Source organism: Homo sapiens, chromosome 2, assembly GCF_000001405.40.
Source record: "Homo sapiens chromosome 2, GRCh38.p14 Primary Assembly".
Lineage (NCBI taxonomy): Eukaryota > Metazoa > Chordata > Mammalia > Primates > Hominidae > Homo > Homo sapiens.
Window position 1 is genome coordinate 237,278,205 of NC_000002.12, and position 20,954 is coordinate 237,299,158.

A 20,954-nucleotide genomic window follows, 5' to 3' on the forward strand; every position below is an offset into this window, starting at 1 on the left:
CAGAAATGGAATCCACAGGCAGACAGCCCGGCGCCGAGCCCTGGGCCTGGTTAAAGATCGACCCCTGACCTAATCGGTTATGTTATCTATAGACTCCAGACATTGTATGGAAAAGCACTGTGAAAATCCCTGTCCTGTTCTGTTCCATTCCGTTCTGATTACCGGTGCATGCAGCCCCCAGTCACATACCCACTGCTTGCTCAATCAATCACAACCCTCTCGCGTGGACCCCCTTAGAGTTCTAAGCCCTTAAAAGGGACAGGAATTGCTCACTTGCGGAGCTCGGTTTTTGGAGACGTGAGTTTTGCGGAAGCTCCCGGCCAAATGAAGCCCTTCCTTCTTTAACTCCGTGTCTGAGGGGATTTGTCTGCGGCTTGTCCTGCTACAAAATTACAAAGCTTCGCTCTGGGGTTTTGATTGTTCCATTTTGCTCTGACAACTCTGACTTGACTGCTAGGCTTTCTGAGTGATGATCTGATTTTTAAAGTCCCTTAACAGGATATGAATCTTGTAGTATTGCATTATAATTGCTAACAGGCTGCCTGGCTCGGCTTGAGTTAAGTTGCAACTCGTTTCCAAAGGAGGCAAATGAGGCCAGTGCCCGGGAGCATAGCCCCAGCATGGCTGCCAAAATGCTGACCAGTGATTCATTTTATGACCTACCTTCAAGCAAGCAATTTTAAAGAAAGAGGGATGCCTCCTGCACTATCGTTTTGAATATAACCTAGTCACATTCTTTCAGAATTGTTTTGTAGTGTATTTAAATATGGAAAGAGCCTTCGCTTCATAGCACATATTACATTTGTAACCTGTATTGGCATACCTAAATCCCAGGCCCTTTGCTGTAACATTTTTACTTTAGATTGGAGCTGGGGAACACTCTCATTTTATCTCCTGCTGCATCTCAGATGTGAAGGCTCTTTGGGCTCCACCATTACCTCCCTGGCAGTCCACCCTGCACCATAGCAACAAGCACATGTGCTCCCTCCAAGTCAGGGGACACCAGGCAGGATGGGGAGAGGGAGGTGAGAGCAGAGACGGACCTGGACTAGAGCTGGCAGGGCTTTGCTGTGAATAGGATGGAAGGCTTCCCACTCTGGGGAAAACCGGGAGAGCATGGAGTCATGGACGCTGGGAGAAGAAAGGTTTTAGAGGAGGCCAAGGGTACTAAAGCCCACCAAGGGTAGCTTAGGTAAGATGAGGACAGAGTCACAGCATGGAGCATACTGATGGTGGGGCAAAAGGACATTTCCGTGGGGTCAGAGCCTGATGACAGCAGTTTATAGAGAGGCTAGAAGGAGGGGTTTGGCTGAGACATAGAGCTGAGAAACGAGAGGGAGCTGGGTAATCTGTGGAGTTCAAGAAGCTTGCTGGTGGTGGTGTTTGTTTGTTTTAGGACGAAAGCTATGAAGGAGTATGTGGCTGATGGGAAGGACACAGAAGACAGATGCTGATGCTACAAAAGACGGAGACACTTGTAGAGTCAAGGTGCTTAGGAGACAGAGGGAGACGCAGAACACAGGTTGGGGGTCTGCATTTGGTGGCAGCAGGGACTCCGCTGCCAGGTGAAAGGGGATCCATGGAAAGAGACAAAAGGTCTATGGCTTGTTGGGGACAGAGGACACAACGGAAGCCAGCAAGCCAAAGCCCCTCATTCCAAACACCAGCTTTGGAGTCCGTACAGGGCTGGCTGTCCACATGGTCATCTGTTCTCAGACAAAAACTTCACTACACATTGCAGAAAAAAATAAGAAGTGAACTTTGTCCCTGTGATTTCTGCTGTCCCCACTCATTGACGGTCTGTTGGAACCTTGGGCGGAGTCTTGTCTGCATTTCGCGTGGGCACCTGCAAAGAAGCTCGTGACATGGTGGGACCCCAGTGACACAGAGCTGCAGAGTCTGGACTGCAAAGGCCTTCACCCTCAAAGTCGCTCATTCACAGAGTGGGAAACTGGAAGAGCGGGCCAAAACGAACGGAATGGAATTTTAAAGGGATTGATGTAAATTTCTGCTCTGGAGTTTTTTTTAAAATAAACGTTATACATGTTTGGAATGAAGGGAAACAATAGCCAGCTGTGTACGTGTGGGAGCCGATAGGAGTCGGGAGGACACAAAATTAATACAGTAATGAAAATGTCAGAGACCAGCCCCATCACCCCACAGTATATCAAATTTCCCCAGTGAATCATCTCGGAGGAAATGCCTTCCGTAGTACCGAATAAAAACCATGAGAGTCAACCGTGGTCTGCAGCTTGTGGGAATTTCTTCAGCCACCCACACCGCTGGTTTGGATGACAAATAAGCCCCCACAGGCCACGCTGAGCCCAGTGGCCACTTGAGGCTGCTTAGATCTGTCTCGGCTCTGAGGACCTCCCTCTGGAAAATGTACATCCTGTGCACTTGAATTTACTGAAACTTCTTCATTTTAACGTTGTAATCAAGGCCAATCATTTTCATGTCAATTTTTTAAAAACCCCATCGCAGGGAAAACAGGGCTCTGCACACAGGAAATACTCAGAAGCCATGTTTCTACTTAATGGTAAAATAAGGACCAACAATTCTTGTGTTACCAACCTCACCAGGTTTTCAGGTCAAAGGAAATATACCACTGACGTCTTTGCAAATACAGACGTTCCCCAAAAAGCATATTTGGGTTTGTATAACACCTCAATTAACTGGATTAAATTGGGAATGGGTTTCTGGTTAACTGAATTTGTTTCAACCCATGTTAAAAGCTTCCTAAAATGTTTGTTCGCCTTTTTACTTCGGTAACACCATCTGGGGCATCTCTCAGCCCCTCCTGGCTCAGGGGTCAGGCAGGAATGAGTGGAGCTAACCCTGAACGAATATTGGCCCCCTTAATGAATCCACTTCATTTCTGATCAATGCCTCTCCTCTGAGACAAGCTCCATGACGACAGGAACCATGTCTATCTTGGCTTGGATGACAAATCAGCCCCCACAGGCCACGACGAGCTCAGTGGCTGGGAGCCTTGGGGCCCAATACAACGTCTTCGTTCAGAGGGTGTGTAATAAATATGTGTTATGTGAAAAGTTTCCTGATGTTAGTCTTGTTTTAATTCATTTTTCTTCCAAAATAGAGAACAGTTCATAAAATGGATATTCTAATTGGTTTGTTGAAATAATTTAGCTTTACCATCTTTGCACAATAGTAATTATTTTCAAATGGAAAATCAGAATATTCGGAGAATGACCATCTCCCTGTCTACATAAAATCAAAGCACAAAGTGAATTAAAACATTTTAAAAATCAACAGATCCAAACAACCCACACCACAGTTGGAAAACTCAGAGGCTCTCACTGGCTTTGGTAGGACTTGGGTGCTGTTGGCAAGAGTGGGCAGGGAACCGGACGTCAAGGTTTGTCTAGGCAAGAGAAAGTTTGTGTTTAGGATGAAGTAAAGAAAAGTCCAGGACAGGGAGGGATTCCTAGGTGAGCAAATTTTAGAGGCCTAAAGGAAATTATCTGCATCTTCTAACATACTGTCAAATTAGGGAAATTATTGTAACTTGGAAGCAACTGGAAGCAAAGGACAAAAGCCTTGCCCTAATGTGCACGTAAAATGAGTCCTGCCTTAGCTTCTTACTTAATTCCCTTTTGCTAATAAGGCTTTGCTGTAAAATGCTTGTCATTTTGCGTCCAAAATGATCTGTGGCATTGAGAACACCAGCAGTGATGGAAGCGATGAGCCTCTGGTGGAGTCTCTGGCACATTTCCCAAGAGGGCAAATTGAATAGAACTGGAGGCCACAGTGACCACAACCTAGTCAGAAACTCAGCCACTTCTAGATGGTAGGATTTCTCAAAGACAGGCTGGTTTGGGCATAATGCCAGGAAATGAATTTCAAAGTTCTTCAACCTCAATTTGGAAATCATGTCTCATCTTAAGGACAAAGGAGCCCACACACAGAATATTGGATTATAGGATTTACAAATCCAACCATTGTTTAAATGCCATAAAGCTTACTAGATCTGCAGCTTCAGTTATGTCTGCACGTTTCATCACACTGACTTATGGAGCACTTATGGAGCACTGAGTAACTGACAAACACTTAATCCTCCTAGGTATTTTGTAAACTAAGGCTTGGAGACATGAAACGACTTAAATCCTACAGCAAGTGACTACGGAAAAGATTACAACTCAAGTCTTCAGGCTTTACTTCAAAGCAAATGTAATCTGCCTGATAATCATGTTAAATTACCTTCCATACTAGAAGACGAATTCCATGAGGATAGGGATTTTTGTCCATTTGTTTACTGGTGTGTCCCCAGCATTTGGGACAAAATAGGATGTTCAAATATTTGTAGCAGGAAAAAAAGAAAGGAGAGAAGAAGGAAGAAGAAGGAAGGATAGGAGAGGGAGGGAGAGAAGCAGGAAGAAAACAAGGAAGGAAGGGAAGAAGGAAGGAAGGAGAGGGGAGGGAGGGGAGGGGAGAGAAGGGGGAGGGGAAGGGGAAGGAGAAGGGGAAGGGGGAGGGGAAGGGGAAGGAGAAGGGGAAGGGGAAGGAGAAGAGGAAGGGAAGGAGAGAGGAGAGGAAGGGAGGGGAGGTGAGGGGAAGGGTGGGAAGGGAAGGGAGGGGAGGGGAGGGGAAGGGAAGGATGGAAATGTCCCATTTACTCATGTGCATCTACATGGAGGAGCAGAAATGCCAAGAGCTTTATTCATTTGGGAAGCACTGCATTAACTCTGCAGCTGTGACTGAGTTGTGTAGGTGGAGGAGACAGTGTCTGTCTGTCTACCCCAGAGCAGAGTTGGGATAAGTGGTAGAGCCTCTGATGATGACTGGGTGTTCCTAGGTTTTTAGTTTCAGCCCAAAGCCTCCCCCGTCTGTCTGGATCCTAGGTGAAGACCTCAGAAAAGAGAAGCTTTCTGTCTGGCCCTTTTCTAACAATCCAGGCTGAGATGAGATTGACAATCACAACCAACGCCCCACCATTCTCATTTCACTTTTTTTTTGCTCAACCTAAAAGTGATCCTGTTTAGTGTTTGAAGTAATCCAATAGTGTTTGCTCTTATATCAGGAAATTTCACATAATTAATTGTAGCACATGCTGGCAAGTGATCACATTTTTGCTCTACGGCCTTAGCAAATTCCACCATGCAGTGGGAACAACTTCATTATACCCAAGTAGTGAGCTACTTGTGCAATCAGGCTGGATATTTACATTTTTGAAATGGAATTGGGCTGTATTAAGATGACCCATCTAGAAGCATTGATGGCTTGTACTTTTTTCTTTTTTTCTTTTTTTTGTAATTCTGATTGGTGTTTTCCATTTGGAAAGATAATTTTTTTTTAGTAAATTTTCATATCACGAAGGCATTTGTATTCAATGACAACCCACTTCTAATGGTATTATGACAGATAAGGTAGTGTGTGCCCAGTGGCTGAGGAAAAACGTCCAATAATTTTGGATATACTGTAGTATGTGAAATGCATAAAATGGATATAGACACATGGTGGTTTCCAAAAACAGCTGCAGTGTCACCAACTTATAACAATGTCTATGACTCACATCTTTAAAGGAATGACATTTCCACTTTGATGAATCATATCTGGACTATCACCAATGAGTTTTAATAATCTATTTCTCTAAGAGTAATGCTTTCCTGATGGAAATTTAAAATTTTAAACTTTTTAAGGTATTAGATATCTAACTGTAATTCCTGTCAGTGCTGTTTCTTAAATATCTCTGCAATTCCTGTCCCTGCAAATGGGATCCGCTGTGTCCCTACGCAAACGTAGCACAGCAGATTTCAGCAGAATCCACACTTAACTAAAATAGAGCAGAGAGCTGTTTAGGAGCTGCCCTGCACCCCTCTTTTGTAGCCTCAACTCTTGCCTCTCCTCATGCGGCACCCTACTCTCCCATGGTTCTTACTAATCTGCAATGGCCAGTATCAATCCCTGCTCATTCTTATGTCTTTGCGTCATACCTGCTATTGCCCCTGCCTCGGTCATGCTTCTTCGTTGGTGCAACTCCCTCATTCCCTTTAAGCTGATTTCTTCTCCCCACCCCCAAGACAGGTTATCAGAGCCCCTGTCTGCTCTCTCAGGACACCTCAGCTTGCAGGACACACACTCCCAACATTGTCTTCTCAGCTCCTCGATAGCCCCTGTCTCCTTTTCCACCTCCACCTCTCCTAACCCTAAATGTGGTCCCTGAGGACCACCTCATCCTGTTCTTCACACTAAACTCTGCCTGTGCAATCCCATCTGTGTCATGACTTTAGAGACCATCTATGAACTGAATATCCTAAAATCTCCATCTCTAGTCCACACCTCTTTCTGAGAGCCAGACTCACAAAATCCCACTATCTTATTGACAGCTCCACATAGGTAACTAAGTGGTACCTCAAACTCAATGTGCTTAAAGCATGAGCTCATCTTCCACTCCAGTTGCCAGAGAAACCCTGCTTCTCTCCTGAGGCACCATGTTGGTGAATGCAATCATCATACAGCCTCTTGCTCAAGACTCAAATCTGAAGGTATCTGTGACTTTTCTCTCCGTGTCCAATATAGCATCACTTTTATGAATTTCTTCAATATTGCACATTCTCTCCCCTATACTCATAATTGTCTGTGCTGTGAAACTTCTCTGATTGCCTCCTCACTGGTCCCCATGCAGCTATGTTTGTCCCCTTGTCAATCCATTCTACCCATCACATCCATAATCATCTTTATGAAATGCAAATCAATCCATGTCACTTTCCAACATGGAATCTCAGTGGGTTCTACTCCACTCTCAGGATAGAGGCCAAAATTCTCAGTATGGTACATAAGTTCACCCCCAGGCCCAGCTTTCTCCATCAGCTCCCACCACCACTCTCTCCACTCCAGACATTCTAGGTTGCTCTCAATCCTTTTTTATTGACTTTTTTATATTAGTTTTAGGTTCACAGCAAAATGGAACAGAAGATATGGAGATTTGTCATATACCTCCTTTCTCCACATAGTCCTCCTCATTATCAACATCCTCTAACAGAAAGTATATGTATTACAATTGATGAACTAGATGGATACATCATTATCATCTGGAGTCCATAGTTTACTTTAGGGTTCACTCTTGGTGTTGTGCATTCTATGGATTTAGACAAATGTATAAGGACATGTATCCACCACTACAGTGTCATACAGAGAGTAGTCTTACTGCTCTAAATGTTCTCTGTGCGCCACTTATCCATCCCTCCATCCCCCTAACCCTTGGCAACCACTGGTCTTGTTCCTGTCTCTATGGTTCTGCTATTTCCAGACCGACATATAGTTGAAATTATGTAACATTTAGCCTTTTCAGATTGGCTTCTTTCAATCTTACAATGCATAGTAATATACATTTAAGTTCCCTCCATGTCTTTTCAATGGCTTGAAAACGAATTTATTTTTATTGCTGACTAATATTCCTTTGTGTAGATATACTGCATTTATTTATCCACTCACCTACTGAAGGACATCTTGGTGGGTTCTAAATTTTGGCAATTTTGAATAAAGCTGCTATAAACATTTGCATGTAGGTTTTTGTGTGGTCATAAGTTTTTAACTCCTTTGGGTAAAAAACAAGGAGCCCATTATGCAATCATAAGTGTGATGGTTAATATTAGGCGTCAGCTGAATTGGATTGCAGGATGCCTAAATGGCTGGTAAAGAATTATTTCTAGGAGTGTCTGTGAGGTTGTTGCCAGAGAAGATTGGCATGTGAATCGGTGGACTAGGAAAGGAAGACCCACCCTCAATGTGGGTGGGCACCATTCAATCTGCTGCCAGCACAGCTAGAACGAAGCTGGTGGAAAAAGGTGGGATAAGTGGGGTGCTGAGTCCTGGGTCGTCTTCTTCTTCCAGTGTTGGACTCTTGCTTCCATTCCTCCTGCTCTTGGACATCAGACTCCAAGTTTTTCAGCCTTTGGACTCTGGGACTTGCACCAGCAGCTTTCCGAGAACTCTTGAGCCTTTGGCTTTAGACTGAAGGCTGCACTGTTGGCTTCCCTGGTTTTGACACTTTCAGACTTGGACTGAGCCACTACTGGCTTCTCTCTATCCCCAGCTTGCTGATGGCCTATCGTGGAACTTAACCTTGTGACCGTGCGAGACAGTTCTCCCTAATAAACTCCCTTTTATATATACATATATCCTGTTGGTTCTGTCCCTCTGGAGAACCCTGACTGGTACAATATGGCACCCATGTTTCATTTTTTTAGGAAACTGACCAACTGTCTTCAATGTAGCTGTGCCATTTTGTATTCCCACCAGCAATGAATGAGAGGTTCTCTTGCTATAAATCCTCACGAGAGATAATGCGAACACAGGAGAAAGACATTCCAGACACCATACAAGTAGGTGAGAGAAATTAAGCTAAATTTTGTAATAACCTTCTGAGGGCCTAGTGTTGGCTAGCATGGCAGTACCTGGATTCCCAGATACAAAGGGAGGTTGCACCCACTTGAGAACTCTTCTCCATGGACCCTCATCTGGTGCTTATTAGTGGGTTGGGGGTGGGGTTGAAGATCAGAGAGAGAGCTTCATGGATAGTACAGGACTATATTAGTCTGTTCTCACGCTGCTATAAAGAAATACCTGAGACTGGGTAATTTATAAAGAAAAAAGGTTTAATTGACTCACCGTTCTGCATGGCTTGGGAGGCCTCAGGAAACTTACAATCATGGTGGAAAGTGAAGCAGGCGCACCTTCTTCACAAGGCAGCAGGAGAGAGAGTGAGTAAGAGCAGGGAAAATGCTAGACACTTATAAAACTATCAGATCTCATAAGAACTCACTCACTATCATGAGAACAGCATGAGGGAAACCAATCTATGATCCAATCACTTCCCACTGGGTCCCTCCCATGACACATGGGGACTACAATTCAAGATGAGATTTGGGTGGGGACAGAGGAAGGTCTAGCATATGGAACAAAAGCCTCAGGCTCCTTTGGGAAAGGCAGAAAGCCCTGTCACTCCCCCAGGGCATAAGTGAAACCCCATTGTACATTTGGGAAGAGTGAGAGGAAAACTCATCTATCCATGGGGGAAGGTCAAGAAAGAGTCCACACCAGGTGTGGTGGCTCACGCCTGTAATCCAAGCACTTTGGGAGGCCGAGGCAGGTGGATCACCTGAGGTTGGGAGGTCAAGATCAGCCTGGCAAACATGGTGAAACCCCATCTCTACTAAAAATACAAAAAATTAGCTGGGTGTGGTGGCAGATGCCTGTAATCCCAGCTACTCAGGAGGCTGAGGCAGGAGAATCTCTTGAACCTGGGAGGCGGAGGTTGCAGTGAGCTGAGATTGCGCCATGGCACTCCAGCCCGGGTGACAGAGTGAGACTCCATTGCAAAAACAAACAAACAAAAAGAGTCCTGGGCCCAGGATTCTATAGCAATGTTGGTTGGTGCTGCCGGCTGCTGGAAAAGGGTACAAGGTGGCTTGGCTGCCATGAGGAGGAGGGGAAGGATCACTGAAAGAGACCCTTCCTCCAGACCCAAGCACATAGGGTCTGCCTAAGAGTGAGGCACAACAGAGGACAGAGAACCCCCCATCCCCTCCTCCATTAAGCTAGAAAGCACTGAGAAATAAGCAATTGCAGTTTAGAGAGGGCCAAAACCATAGTTAGAGAGCCCATCTCAGGATCAATCTCACACAGAAGGTAAAAGCAGAGCAGAATATTGAGAAACACCCAGTCAAAGCACAGGGGGACATTAGAAGAATTTGAAGCTGGTGGTGCACAGCTGGTGGTGATAACCCTAGCAACAGCAACATCAGTTTGTAGGTTAACTCCTGACAAGACTGACTCAAACTTCACACTAACAGCTTATCAAAAGAAAAAGTATTTTCATCTCAAGGAATAAATTCTATTGACCTCAGACTTTTCTGTTCTATACATGATGTCTGGCATTAGATCAAAAATTATGAGACAGAAAAAAAAAACAAGACAAAAATAACCCACTGCCAAGAGGCAGAAATAGAACCAGACTCACAGATAGCCAGACGTCCATACTATCAGACAAAAAATTAAAAATAATAGTGATTAATATATTAAAGACTAGTGGAAAAGGTGGACAACATGCATGAGCAGATGACAACTTTCAGCAGAGAGAGGGAAACTATAAAAAAGCATCCAATGGAAATGCTGGAAATAAAATAGTTATGAAGAAAACAAATGTGGTATATATATGCACCATGGAATACTACTTAACCATAAAAAAGAATGAAAGAATGTCTTTTGCATCAACTTGAATACAACTGGAGGCCATTATCTTAACTAACTCAGGAACAGAAAACCAAATACTGCATGCTTTCATTCATAAGGCAGGGCTAAGCTATGGGCACACAAAGGCAAGCAGAGTGGTGAAATGGACATTGAAGACTCAGAAGGGAAAGGATGGGAGTGAGGCAAGGGATGAAAAGTCACCTGTTGGGTACAATGTACACTATTTGGGTGATGGGTATGTTAAAAGCTCAGACTTCACCACTATGCAATTCATCCATGTAACCAAAAACCACTTGTACCCCCAAATATTTATTTATTTATTGTAAATAAATAAAATTTAAATTAAAAATTAGAAAGCCTTTATCAGGCTTATCACTAGACTCAACACAGGCAATGAATCATTGAACTTACAGGTGACTCAATGGAAATCACCAAAATAAAACACAAAGAGAATAAAAGAGAGGGAAAAATAGAGCAGGAAATGAAAAGCCATGGGACATTAGCAAAAAGTCAAACATAAGTGTAATCGAGATTCCTGAAAGGAAAGAGAGAGAGAGAAGAAACAGAAATATTTGAAGAGATAGTGGACAAGAATTTATCAAAACAGTGAAAGATGTTAGATCACAGATCTGTGAAACTTGCGGAACCAGAAACGAGACAGATGAACACTGAGGGGCAGAAAAACACCCCTCAATACGTTATGCATGAACTTCTTAAAAACAAAGACAAAGATCTTGAAAGTACTCCAACACATTACCAACATAAGCACAACGGTAAGAATTTATAGGAGACTCCTTATGAAAAACCATGTAAACTAAATTTCAGAGAGAGAGAGAGCGTGACTCCTGACTGCCCCAGCTGACTCCCGTCCTCCTTGTTTGAGCAAAGCTTGGCGTGTCAAGCTGTCTCATGGCTGTGGCCAAGGGACCACACCTGCCCCAACTCAAGCACAGTGTGACTCTCCCCTGCGGTGCCTCTGCACGTTTGGACTTTGTTACCCTTATTTGATAAGGAACCATTGATCATGCTGAAGCCGTTTCAGAAGAAAAATGCACATATTGATACATCAATTTGATTTCCAAGCTGAATCAAGTGAAGATATATTATAGAGTCAGCTGACCTAGGGACCAAGGAACAAGCCAGAAAATATCAAAATCAGAGTACCCAGGAAGACGAGGCCTCCAAAGAGCTCCAAATGCCGAGGTCGGCCTCATATCGCACAGTTCAGACTCTATGGAAAATAACATCGAGAATGAAATGTTGTGATACCTCGGTGCATGGACTTTTATTATTGTGGGGTTTGAAAGTAAAGGGGAGATAAATATGGGTCATAAAGACCTGTTTTTCAATTCCATTTGTACCCTGCATATTTATATTGATAACACTTCCCCATGAGTCTTTCTAAACAAGAAGCCATCAAGGCAGTGCTTAAGAAGTATAATAATAAAACAATAAATAAATAAATAAAACAGTGTGGGGGGGAATTGCCATAGGAATTAAATAAAGAGACAAAGATTAAATATATTGTAGTACACTGCATTTGATGATAAGATGGGAAAAGGACATGCTGAATTCTGAATAAAGTCTATTAATTATTAAAAAAAGAAGTCTATTTTTCTAGATTACGGGAGTTTAATAAAAGATTTTTCTAAAAAAATTTAAAAAAAGAATCTGTTCTCAGACCATGGCTCTGCCTCTTAACAGCTATTTCACTCTGAAAGAGTTGTTTTACCTCTGAGTCTGTTCCTCCGCTTTCAGAAGGTCATTATGGGGATTAAATAAGGTAAATCAAGGAAAGTGCTCAGCATGATGCCTGGCACACCATAAACACCCAATAAATTTTAGTCACCATTAGCTATTGTTTTTGTTTATTATTCTCATCATTATTTGGTCAGGGTCACTTTGATCAAAGCCAGGGTACAATCTGTTGCTTCTCCATGAGTGCCTTATTCTTTGGGTCTCTCCAAAGCCCAGGATACATTCTTCTGTGACTTTTCACTGTCCATTGCTCATGCTCCTTTACGAGGTTTGAGAGATGAGTGCCAGCACTGTATTTGGGAGCCGCTGCAGCTCTGCACAGACCCAGAACGTCATGTGCTTTCCCCTCGGCGTGGCCAGGGAGAGCTCGTCTACCCCCGCGTGCTACTCGCCAGCTTTCCCCACTTCGAGGGCGGAGCTCAGTGGCTTAGCGTGAAGTGATCAAATGAGTGTTTACACCAAAGCACTCTATGGGTCTATATCAATATTTCTAAGAATCGTTTCATTTATAGAAATTATTACCCAGCTGACCTGTTATCATGTACAACAGCTTCACTGGCAAAAGCATCATATTCTAGATCGGGGCTTAGCAAACTTTTCTGTAAAGGACCAGAGAGTGAATATTTTCAGCTTTGTGGGCCACACACAATCCTGTTTTATAATCTTCTCGTTTTTTGTTACAACTTTTAAAAAATGCAAAGCAACAACAACCAAAAATAAATAAATAAATAACCCACTCTTAACCTGTGGACTATACAGAAAGAGTTTGTGGGCCAAAATTTGCCCACTGGCCATAGTTTGCTGATCCCTGTTCTAGATGTCTGATTTGCTTTGTATTGGACAGTTTGGCAATAGGAAGAATACACACTTAAATTTTCTTCTCTTTGGCAGAATTGCATTAAAAATCAATTCTTTTTAGCTTTTAGGAAACTGAACTCTCGCAGAGATTTAATTGGAAGAGAACCAGCATTTCATTGAAACATATTTGGAAACACGTTGTGTATATTGAGACACACACACAGACACGGTCTCTGTACTCCAAGTAGTTGAAGTCAACAAATGTGTCTGAACTTTTTTAGCTGGTTTCCATGGGAACGTAGATGAAAACAAAACGTATATTCTGAGGAAGCACCAGGTTTTCTGGCTGAGGAAACGTTTTCTGAGTTAACTCTGAAGGGTGTTTTATTTCCAAGAGTGACGGCTTGGTTGATTCTCTCCTCTCCCTCCTCTTTTCTGTCTTCTCCTCCTCCCCTCTCTGTGTGTTCCCCGCGCCACATGTGCCCTTCGTGGTTCTGTGTCCCTCTCTGCACCCTCACCCCCTCCTTGCTGCCGCTCCTGGGCCTCTGGATGAAGCCTCCGCATCTGGTTTCCATCTCCCTGCGCCGCGGGACTGAAGCCCGGCCGACCCAGATTTCCCGTTCATAAATCATTACTCATCTGGAGCCCAGCCAGGAGCACTTCAGGGACTGTTTACTCAGCACGTCTCCTTTTTCAGAAGAACTGCTTCCCTTCTGTGTCGTTTCAAGTCTGGCTGCCATCTTCTACGTTGATCATTTTCCCCATTTTTATCTTTGAAAAGCAGACAAGAGAGGAATTCACTGTGATAAGGCATTTAAATGAGCTGTATCAAACGTACAGCTGGGTCAAACATAAGAGTTTATTCTAATAAAAGTGGCGAGAAATTCGGAAGTACATACATATTGTGGTAAGAACATATGATATTTGATATTTTAAGTAAACTTTGCAGAAGTAGAGGGAGTTAACACATAATCATAGCTATGTGCCAGGTAACACTTGAAATGTTAACTGAATGCTCACGGCAACTCTACACTATAGGTGCTATTAACCTTATTTTACAGATGAGGAAACTGAGGCACAGAAAACATAACTACTAATAACGTGCCCATCTGCTAGTAAATGACGATCCTCTGACAAGGACCCAGTCTGGCACCAGAGCTTCTGCTCTCTCAAGCAGCTGATTCAACTGCTTCTTCGTTTCTTCAACTGTAAAATCATTTCCATTTCACAGATGGGGAAACTGAGGCTCCAAAAGTTAAGCAAATGAAGCTGTAACAGCTATTTTCAAATATTTCCAAACTGTCTCTTTCCTTAGTACTTCCAATGTGTTTTAGTGCTGTACTGCGTGTGTTTACAGTAAACTCCCAAGAAGTTTAAAAATTCCTCTATGTGTCATTAAGGTTTCCAAAAACTACTTTAATTTTTCCATTTTTCACAGAAGCATGTGACTTGCATAGATTTCTCTTAAATGATTTATAAGAGAAATAAAATGAATGTCAAAATGTTTTTACCTAAGAACGGAGTAAATCAGATATTTTTCCTATGGTCATAATGCCAATGACTTCAGAGGAATTTAACGATGAAAATGGAAACATAAAATAAGATAAAGGGCACTGAGTGCTGTTCTAATTTCTGAGTCATATTTTTGGGAAATAATTAATATAAAGAATACTCAGTGACCATTTTCCATGTTTATTCAGTGATAAACACCATGCCAGCTGCTGGGAGAAAAGAGACACATTAAGTAATTTATCTTCCTGCAAAGAGTGACACTGCAGTGGTAGTACATAAGGGTTGGAATGACATTCTTGTCAATTACAGCATTTTGTAGAAATGCAGTTTCTTTGAATGTGAAGGATCAGCTGATCTGTCACCATCATTTTCCAACTGGTATGTTATTGGGGTGGGTTGGGAAAGGGGGCTAGGTTGTGCTGCAGTAACCAACAACTCCAAAATCTCAGTAGGTTAATCCAGCCAAATTTATTTTTTCACTCACATTACCAGTCCTATATAGGACAGCAGAGGCCTCTACTCCACACAGTCACTCAAGGATCAAGGTGATTATGCCTCTACAGTTTTGTACCTAAACCATCAAAAACATGGGGCCTGCATAGAGAGACTGAAGAAAATAGCATGGCTTTTTATGAACTCAACAAGAAAGAACACTCATCTTTTGTCCTTGGCCAGAATTCATTGTCCAGACCCACTACCTGCAATATGAATGGAATATTCGTGGGAGCTGGTGAATCCCACTGTGGGTTCACAGAAATGAAACTAAGGCTCAGAAAAAGGGAAATATCAAGCTTACTTCCTAGCCTCATCAACTCTCCACTCCCTAGAGTTGAAGTAAGAGAATACAAAGCCTTTAGGAACAGTGACAGTTAAAAGACAGATATTCAATGAGGGATAATTGGATAGAGATATTGATTCTGAACTATATTGTAATTAAAATATATTGCTTATCAGAAGCTTACTAAATTCTAGTCCTTGGCATGTATTTTTAAAGCATTTTGAATCCTTACAACAACCCTATGAAGTGAAGTGATTTGCTCAGTGATGCACAGCCCGTAAGTGGCAAATCTGGCACTAGAACACTAGCCAATTGGACCCCAAAGCCAGTGGCATTAACTTGTATGCAATATTCTCAACAATTATCCCATGCAGTGTGAAAACAGTGATGCAAAAGGTTTTGTGCGTTTTTTATATATCATTGACATCAATGTTACCCCCTCCTTATCTCCAGCGCATGTCTCAAAACTTGGTTGTTCTTGCTACCCTGCTCTTCCTTTCCTCAGTCTTTCTCTTAGTTTGCAAATATCCTTTTCATTGATTTGATTTCCTTAATATAATTTATGCCACATTTACTGTGTCCCAGTTGGATGCATATATCACGGTGAAGCAAGTGCATGAAGAATAAACAGAAACTTACCTATTTATCTATTTATACAGGAAAACAGCCCCAGATGGTGTTTAGTCTATGCATCTCATGTTTAAATTCATAAGCTAACTGAGTAATTGTCAAAAACATTCCCCTATTGCTTAGTGGTTTCTATTACTTGTAGGCAAAATATTTATAACTAAGAAAAATCAGAAATTAATTGCAAGTAGCTGACCCAAACATATGGAATTGGCTGAATTTGCAGGGAGGAGGGTGATGATAGTTCTCAAGATTCCTCCATCCTGGGAAGAAAGCTGGTAATTCCTGTTAAACCAACAGCCTACTGAGGCCAATGCTTTAGAATATTTTTTGGCAAATGTCATAGAATCAAGATGTGTTGACTGCCTCTTACTGCCTTTAGTAAGAATCTAAATGAGAATACGAGCTTTGATCCAAGGTTACTGCCTGGAAGCAAAAATGAAAGAAAAAGAGAGAGGGGGAGAGAAATAACAGCAGGGCAAGTATATTATTTATTAAGGGAAGTCCTTTCTCCTGATTTCCAGCAATATAATACTGCTAAGTTTCAGATAAATAGGCCATTTGCAAAACTTAACCATTTCTAAAGCTAAAGTTGAAGTACCAACAAGTAAAATAAGAGATCCTTGTCATTAGAATAAGGCTCTCTAGGAAGAGTCAGAGGAATTCAGGATGCTATTAATAGCTCCACTGGGCCCCAATCAAACACAGCCATCTCAGAGCCTTAGTGTTTGTGGGGCTCCTACCTGGGTTCTTCCTTCATCTTCAGCACCTCTCTCCTCTGCCTAAGATTTTCAGGGCTGACTCATATCTTCGCTTCCTTCAATTGTCTGTTCAAATGATTTATTTCCAGGAAGGTCTTCCTCAGCACCATTTATAAAACACAAACACACATGAACATGCACATTACTCTCACTTCTCCTGCTCTGCTATATTTTTATGCCTAGACTTATCACCACTCAACACAGAATATATTTCTTTGCCCATCTCTGTATATTATTCAGAGTAGGTTAAACTGATGTTATACCAAATAGATTCAAGCATGTAATGTCTCAATACAGTAAGCTTTGTTTCCTGCTCACCTAGTAGTCCTAGGTAGATACTGAAGTTGGCAGGTTGGTTCTCCTCCATGCAGTCATTCAGGGATCCACACTCCTTCCATTCTGTGGCTCCATCATTTCTGAATCCAGTAAGCAGAAGCTAATAGTCATGAAGGGATATACATGGAGGTGTTCATTGTCCAGGTCCGGAACACATCACTTTTGCTCGTTGGGTTGGAAAGGGCTTGGTAATTTGATCATACATAACTTTAAGAAATATTGGGAAATAGAGTTTTGGTGTGTGTCCAAAGTAGAGGAGACTGGATTTTGCTGAACAGCTTGCCCTTTCTATTCAGTGTCCTTCCACTAAAAGGTAAGCTACTTGAAAGCAGAAACTTGTCTGTTTTGTTATATTTACAATGCCTACAGCAATGCCTGAAACGTAGTAGACATTCAATAAGTTCATGTTAAATGAAGTTGAAAAAATGGACATAAGAAAATTTGATTTGAATGTAGCCTGAGAAGGCTGGGACTACAGTCCAGGGCACGTTAGGGACAGATTCAACTATACTCTCACTTCTGTTTATTTTTCACCACACAAACCTCCTGCAGATTATTAAATTTAGAACTAAAGAAATTAAAATGCCCCAAAGCTCTGGACAGTTTACTTTAGTGGGTCATGGTGAATAAAAATCATACTTATCCAACAATTCTGGCATTGAAAACTTATAAACGTATTCTTCACACATAGAAGAGAAAGGAATTTTAGTAATATTAAAGGTAGTTATGTCACCAGAAAACTCCCAAGCTTAGCTAAGAGGGTCTTGAGATTTTTCCATCACTCTCCAAGATGAGTAGCGCACAAATACATACACATCACATGAAAACACTTCTTTTTCTCTCTTAAGCCTGGCCCAGAAGCACACTGGAACACAGAAGTCATTCAATCAGGCAGAAGCTGTGCCCACCAGACAGACTTATTAAGGAGTTCAGTTCACATCCAGGGCAACATGTCAACAAGGACGCGTGTGTCACTTTTTCTGTCCAGAAGAAAACAGCCTGTGCTCGGGACCTTCGACCGATGTACAGTGCGGGTAACATTTCCACCTTGCTTTTCTCTACCAGTTCACACCAGATGTGATGGACAGTTATGCCCAGGTTGCAGGCTGTAAGGAGCTACATCTGGACTGTATCAAGACTGTGTCTGGGGAGAAATGGTTTTTACCATTTTGGTTTTTACATTTTGGTACTATATACCATCCTGTACGTAGACAGCTGCAGCCGCTCCGTGATATTACCTCCAGATGCAATGATTGGTGTGTGTGTGTGTTTCCGTGATATTACCTCCAGATGCAATGACTGGTGTGTGTGTGTGTGTGTCTGTCTATATGTGCATGAGTGTGTGTGTGTGTGAGTGTGTACACCTATGTGTGTACTAGGCAGCCCAGCAGTGGACTCTAGACTAGACCAGACAGCTTGACCAGCATCACTTCTCTAGGATTGTCCTTTCCTGTTATCCATGCAGTAATCTGGTTAGGGTGAGTTGGGATTTGACCCACACTGGGCAGCTGGGCCAGTCAGTGTTTCCCCAGAAATTGGAATGAAGGAGTCAGGTAGCTGTGGATCTCTATCCTAGTGGTGACGTTTCCTTATTCAAGGAAAGAAAGCAAAGTATTAGGAGGTCCCACAAGGTGGGGGAGGAATATGTTAATTGCTGTTGCAGTTTTTTTATGGCAGCTAAATGATGCTGAGGGGAACCTCACAAATAAAACTGTCTTGATAGAAATAATGATGACTATCTTTTTACTGAATATATATAATATGTCAAATAGGGTATTAGTTACTTTACTTGCAAGAATCCTGGGAAGTAGATATTATTTCTATCTCTACTTTACACATGTAAAAACTGACTCACAAAGGTCAAACTAACCCAAATGCATTAGTTTTTTTTTTTTTTCTTGACGGTTAACAAATTTCACAAACTTAGTGCTTAAAATAGCACAGATTTACTACTTTACAGTTTTGGAAGTCAGAAGTCTGGAATGGCCTCAATGAGTGGGGATCAGGGTGGAGCAGGACTGCTCTTCTTCCTGGAAGCTCTAGGAGAGAGTTTCCTCCGTGTCTTTTCCTTCTAGAGGCTGACACATTCCTTCCCTCACTGCCCCTTCCTCCACCTTCAGAGCCAGCAACAGAGCCTCTCTCTGGGTTTGCTTCTCTCTGAGCCTCACACCTTGCTCCCTGAGCCCCTCTTGTTCTCATCTGTCTCCTCTCCCACCTTTAAGGGCCCATGTTATTACATGGGGCCTGCCAGATAATCCAAGAAAAATCTCTCTGCTGTTTAGCAAATTTAATTTCATTAAACCTCAATTCCTTTTTGCTATGTAATGTACCATATTCACAGATTCCAGGGATCCGCATGCGGATGTCTTCATGGGGACATTATTCTAGTTACAGCCCCAAGGTTGCCAAGTTAGCCAGTGGCAGAGTTTGGATTCAAATACAATTTTAACTAGAATATTCATATGCATAGCCCTCACATTCTCCTGCCTCTCAACTCATTACCAGGCTGCTTTTTCTGCCGCTTGAATGACTTCTAGAGACACTTCAAGCATCCCTGCATCCAAGCCTCATTCTTCAAAGCTTGGCGTGACTTTCATCTCTGCCATGGAGCATTTCCTGAGTAAACTCTCCTGTGAACATCAAAGTCATGTGGTCATCAGCCCCTGTGGAGCCTTCCCTCCCCAGTGCTTACACAGTCTGGACTCAAATGCATCTGGAATGGAGAACCACCCCCAGTGCTGCAGAGCCACCTCATTTTCTATCATCTACCCACCTGGTTTTCGGTAAGAATCATCTTGCTTCTCTAGGAAAGCCTTTCACAAATATGAAGGAAATGACCAGTGACCTCTCACCTTCACATCTTCTCTTTGCCAGGAGGAAAAACTTTGTTCCTTCAGCCATCTTCACAGGCCAGGGACTGGCACTTCCTCCACACTCTCAGCACACCGCCCTGTGCATCCTACAGTTCCTAAAGAGTGGAAATTCCCCAGTTGTGCTCGAATCAAACCTGCCCTTAAGTACCATATTTGTATAAACTCGTGTGAGATCACACTAGCTTCTCAGTGGGTGCATCATAGTGCAAGTTAATTTCAGATTTAACTGATTTGACATGGATTGAAACTGTTAAGATATTTGCAACATGCTACCACTAAATAACTATTACTTTGTCCTATATTGGGAAGTAGTTTGTGGGATTTGGGGTAGGTGGATGCAAATAAAAGCATTTATACTTATGCATATTAAAATGTACTTTTATTGATTCAGACTGCTTCAATCAAGGTCTCTCCACTCTCCCTCCCACTACCATGACCCTTGTAATTGAGGAAATGGCAACTTCTGTATTTCTGTTCATGGCACTAATAAAAATGCTGAACAGTCTAGAATCAGGGACAGAGTCCTAGAAAACAAGATCAAAAGCCTTTGGGTTACTGAGTCAATGATTCCTTTGGACACCATTAGCCAGTTAGTAATCCTCCTAATTATCCCAGCCTCTACCCCACATTTCTGCAGTGTGTCCACAAGTAGATCATAAAAAGCTTGTCAAGTGCCTTGATGAAGAACAGACGCGCTGTGTCCACTGCATTTCCCAGGGCTACTGCTGTGAAAGAAAGGAGTGAGATGGGTGGGTAGTGGCAGCTAGACTTAGCTCTACTTATTTTCCTCAGATCCTCCGCTGAGTGGAACGCAGTGATAGGAATGATCTCAAAGTAGGCAGCTCACCCCAAACAACAATGTTGTCCCGCAGTGCTGGGGGAAATACAGAACCAGAAGCATAGAGTCCTGCAACATGTCCACTTCATATGCCTTTGGATATGGCCCCAAGCTGCCTCGGTTTCCTGTCAATGAAATGAACCTGTCTCTACCTGCCTCTCTGACTCATGATGTTTATCAGTTTAGCTGAGGTCATGCACATGTGCTTGAAAACCACACACACACCCTCCAGTGCTACGAATGTGAGGCAATCGTGGCATGGTCCAGTAATACTTTTTATGGCACTTCAGAATCCTCAACCGGCTCAGGAATGCCATGCATCTGGGTGAAAACCTCAGGGAAATTCTAGCTGCAAAAACTTCCTTAAAAACCCACCTCTCCGGGCATGGTGGCTCATGTCTGTAATCCCAGCACTTTGGGAGGCCAAGGCGGGTCGATCACCTACCTGAGGTCAGGAG

At 42.6% G+C, this 20,954-nt stretch overlaps 1 long non-coding RNA gene across 2 annotated transcripts; it reads right to left on the minus strand.

The window, feature by feature from the left end:
* Positions 1–11,897: 11,897 nt before the first annotated feature.
* Positions 11,898–20,649, minus strand: LOC105373954 (uncharacterized). 2 transcript variants are annotated; one of them, XR_924039.3, is made up of 4 exons: positions 19,638–20,649; positions 16,768–16,885; positions 16,432–16,544; positions 11,898–13,542 (listed from the first exon to the last, which is right to left on the minus strand). It is a non-coding gene; the product is annotated as an uncharacterized LOC105373954 (long non-coding RNA). The 2 variants fall into 2 exon arrangements; XR_001739961.2 differs by lacking the exon at positions 19,638–20,649 and having other exon boundaries at positions 16,768–18,207.
* Positions 20,650–20,954: the final 305 nt, after the last annotated feature.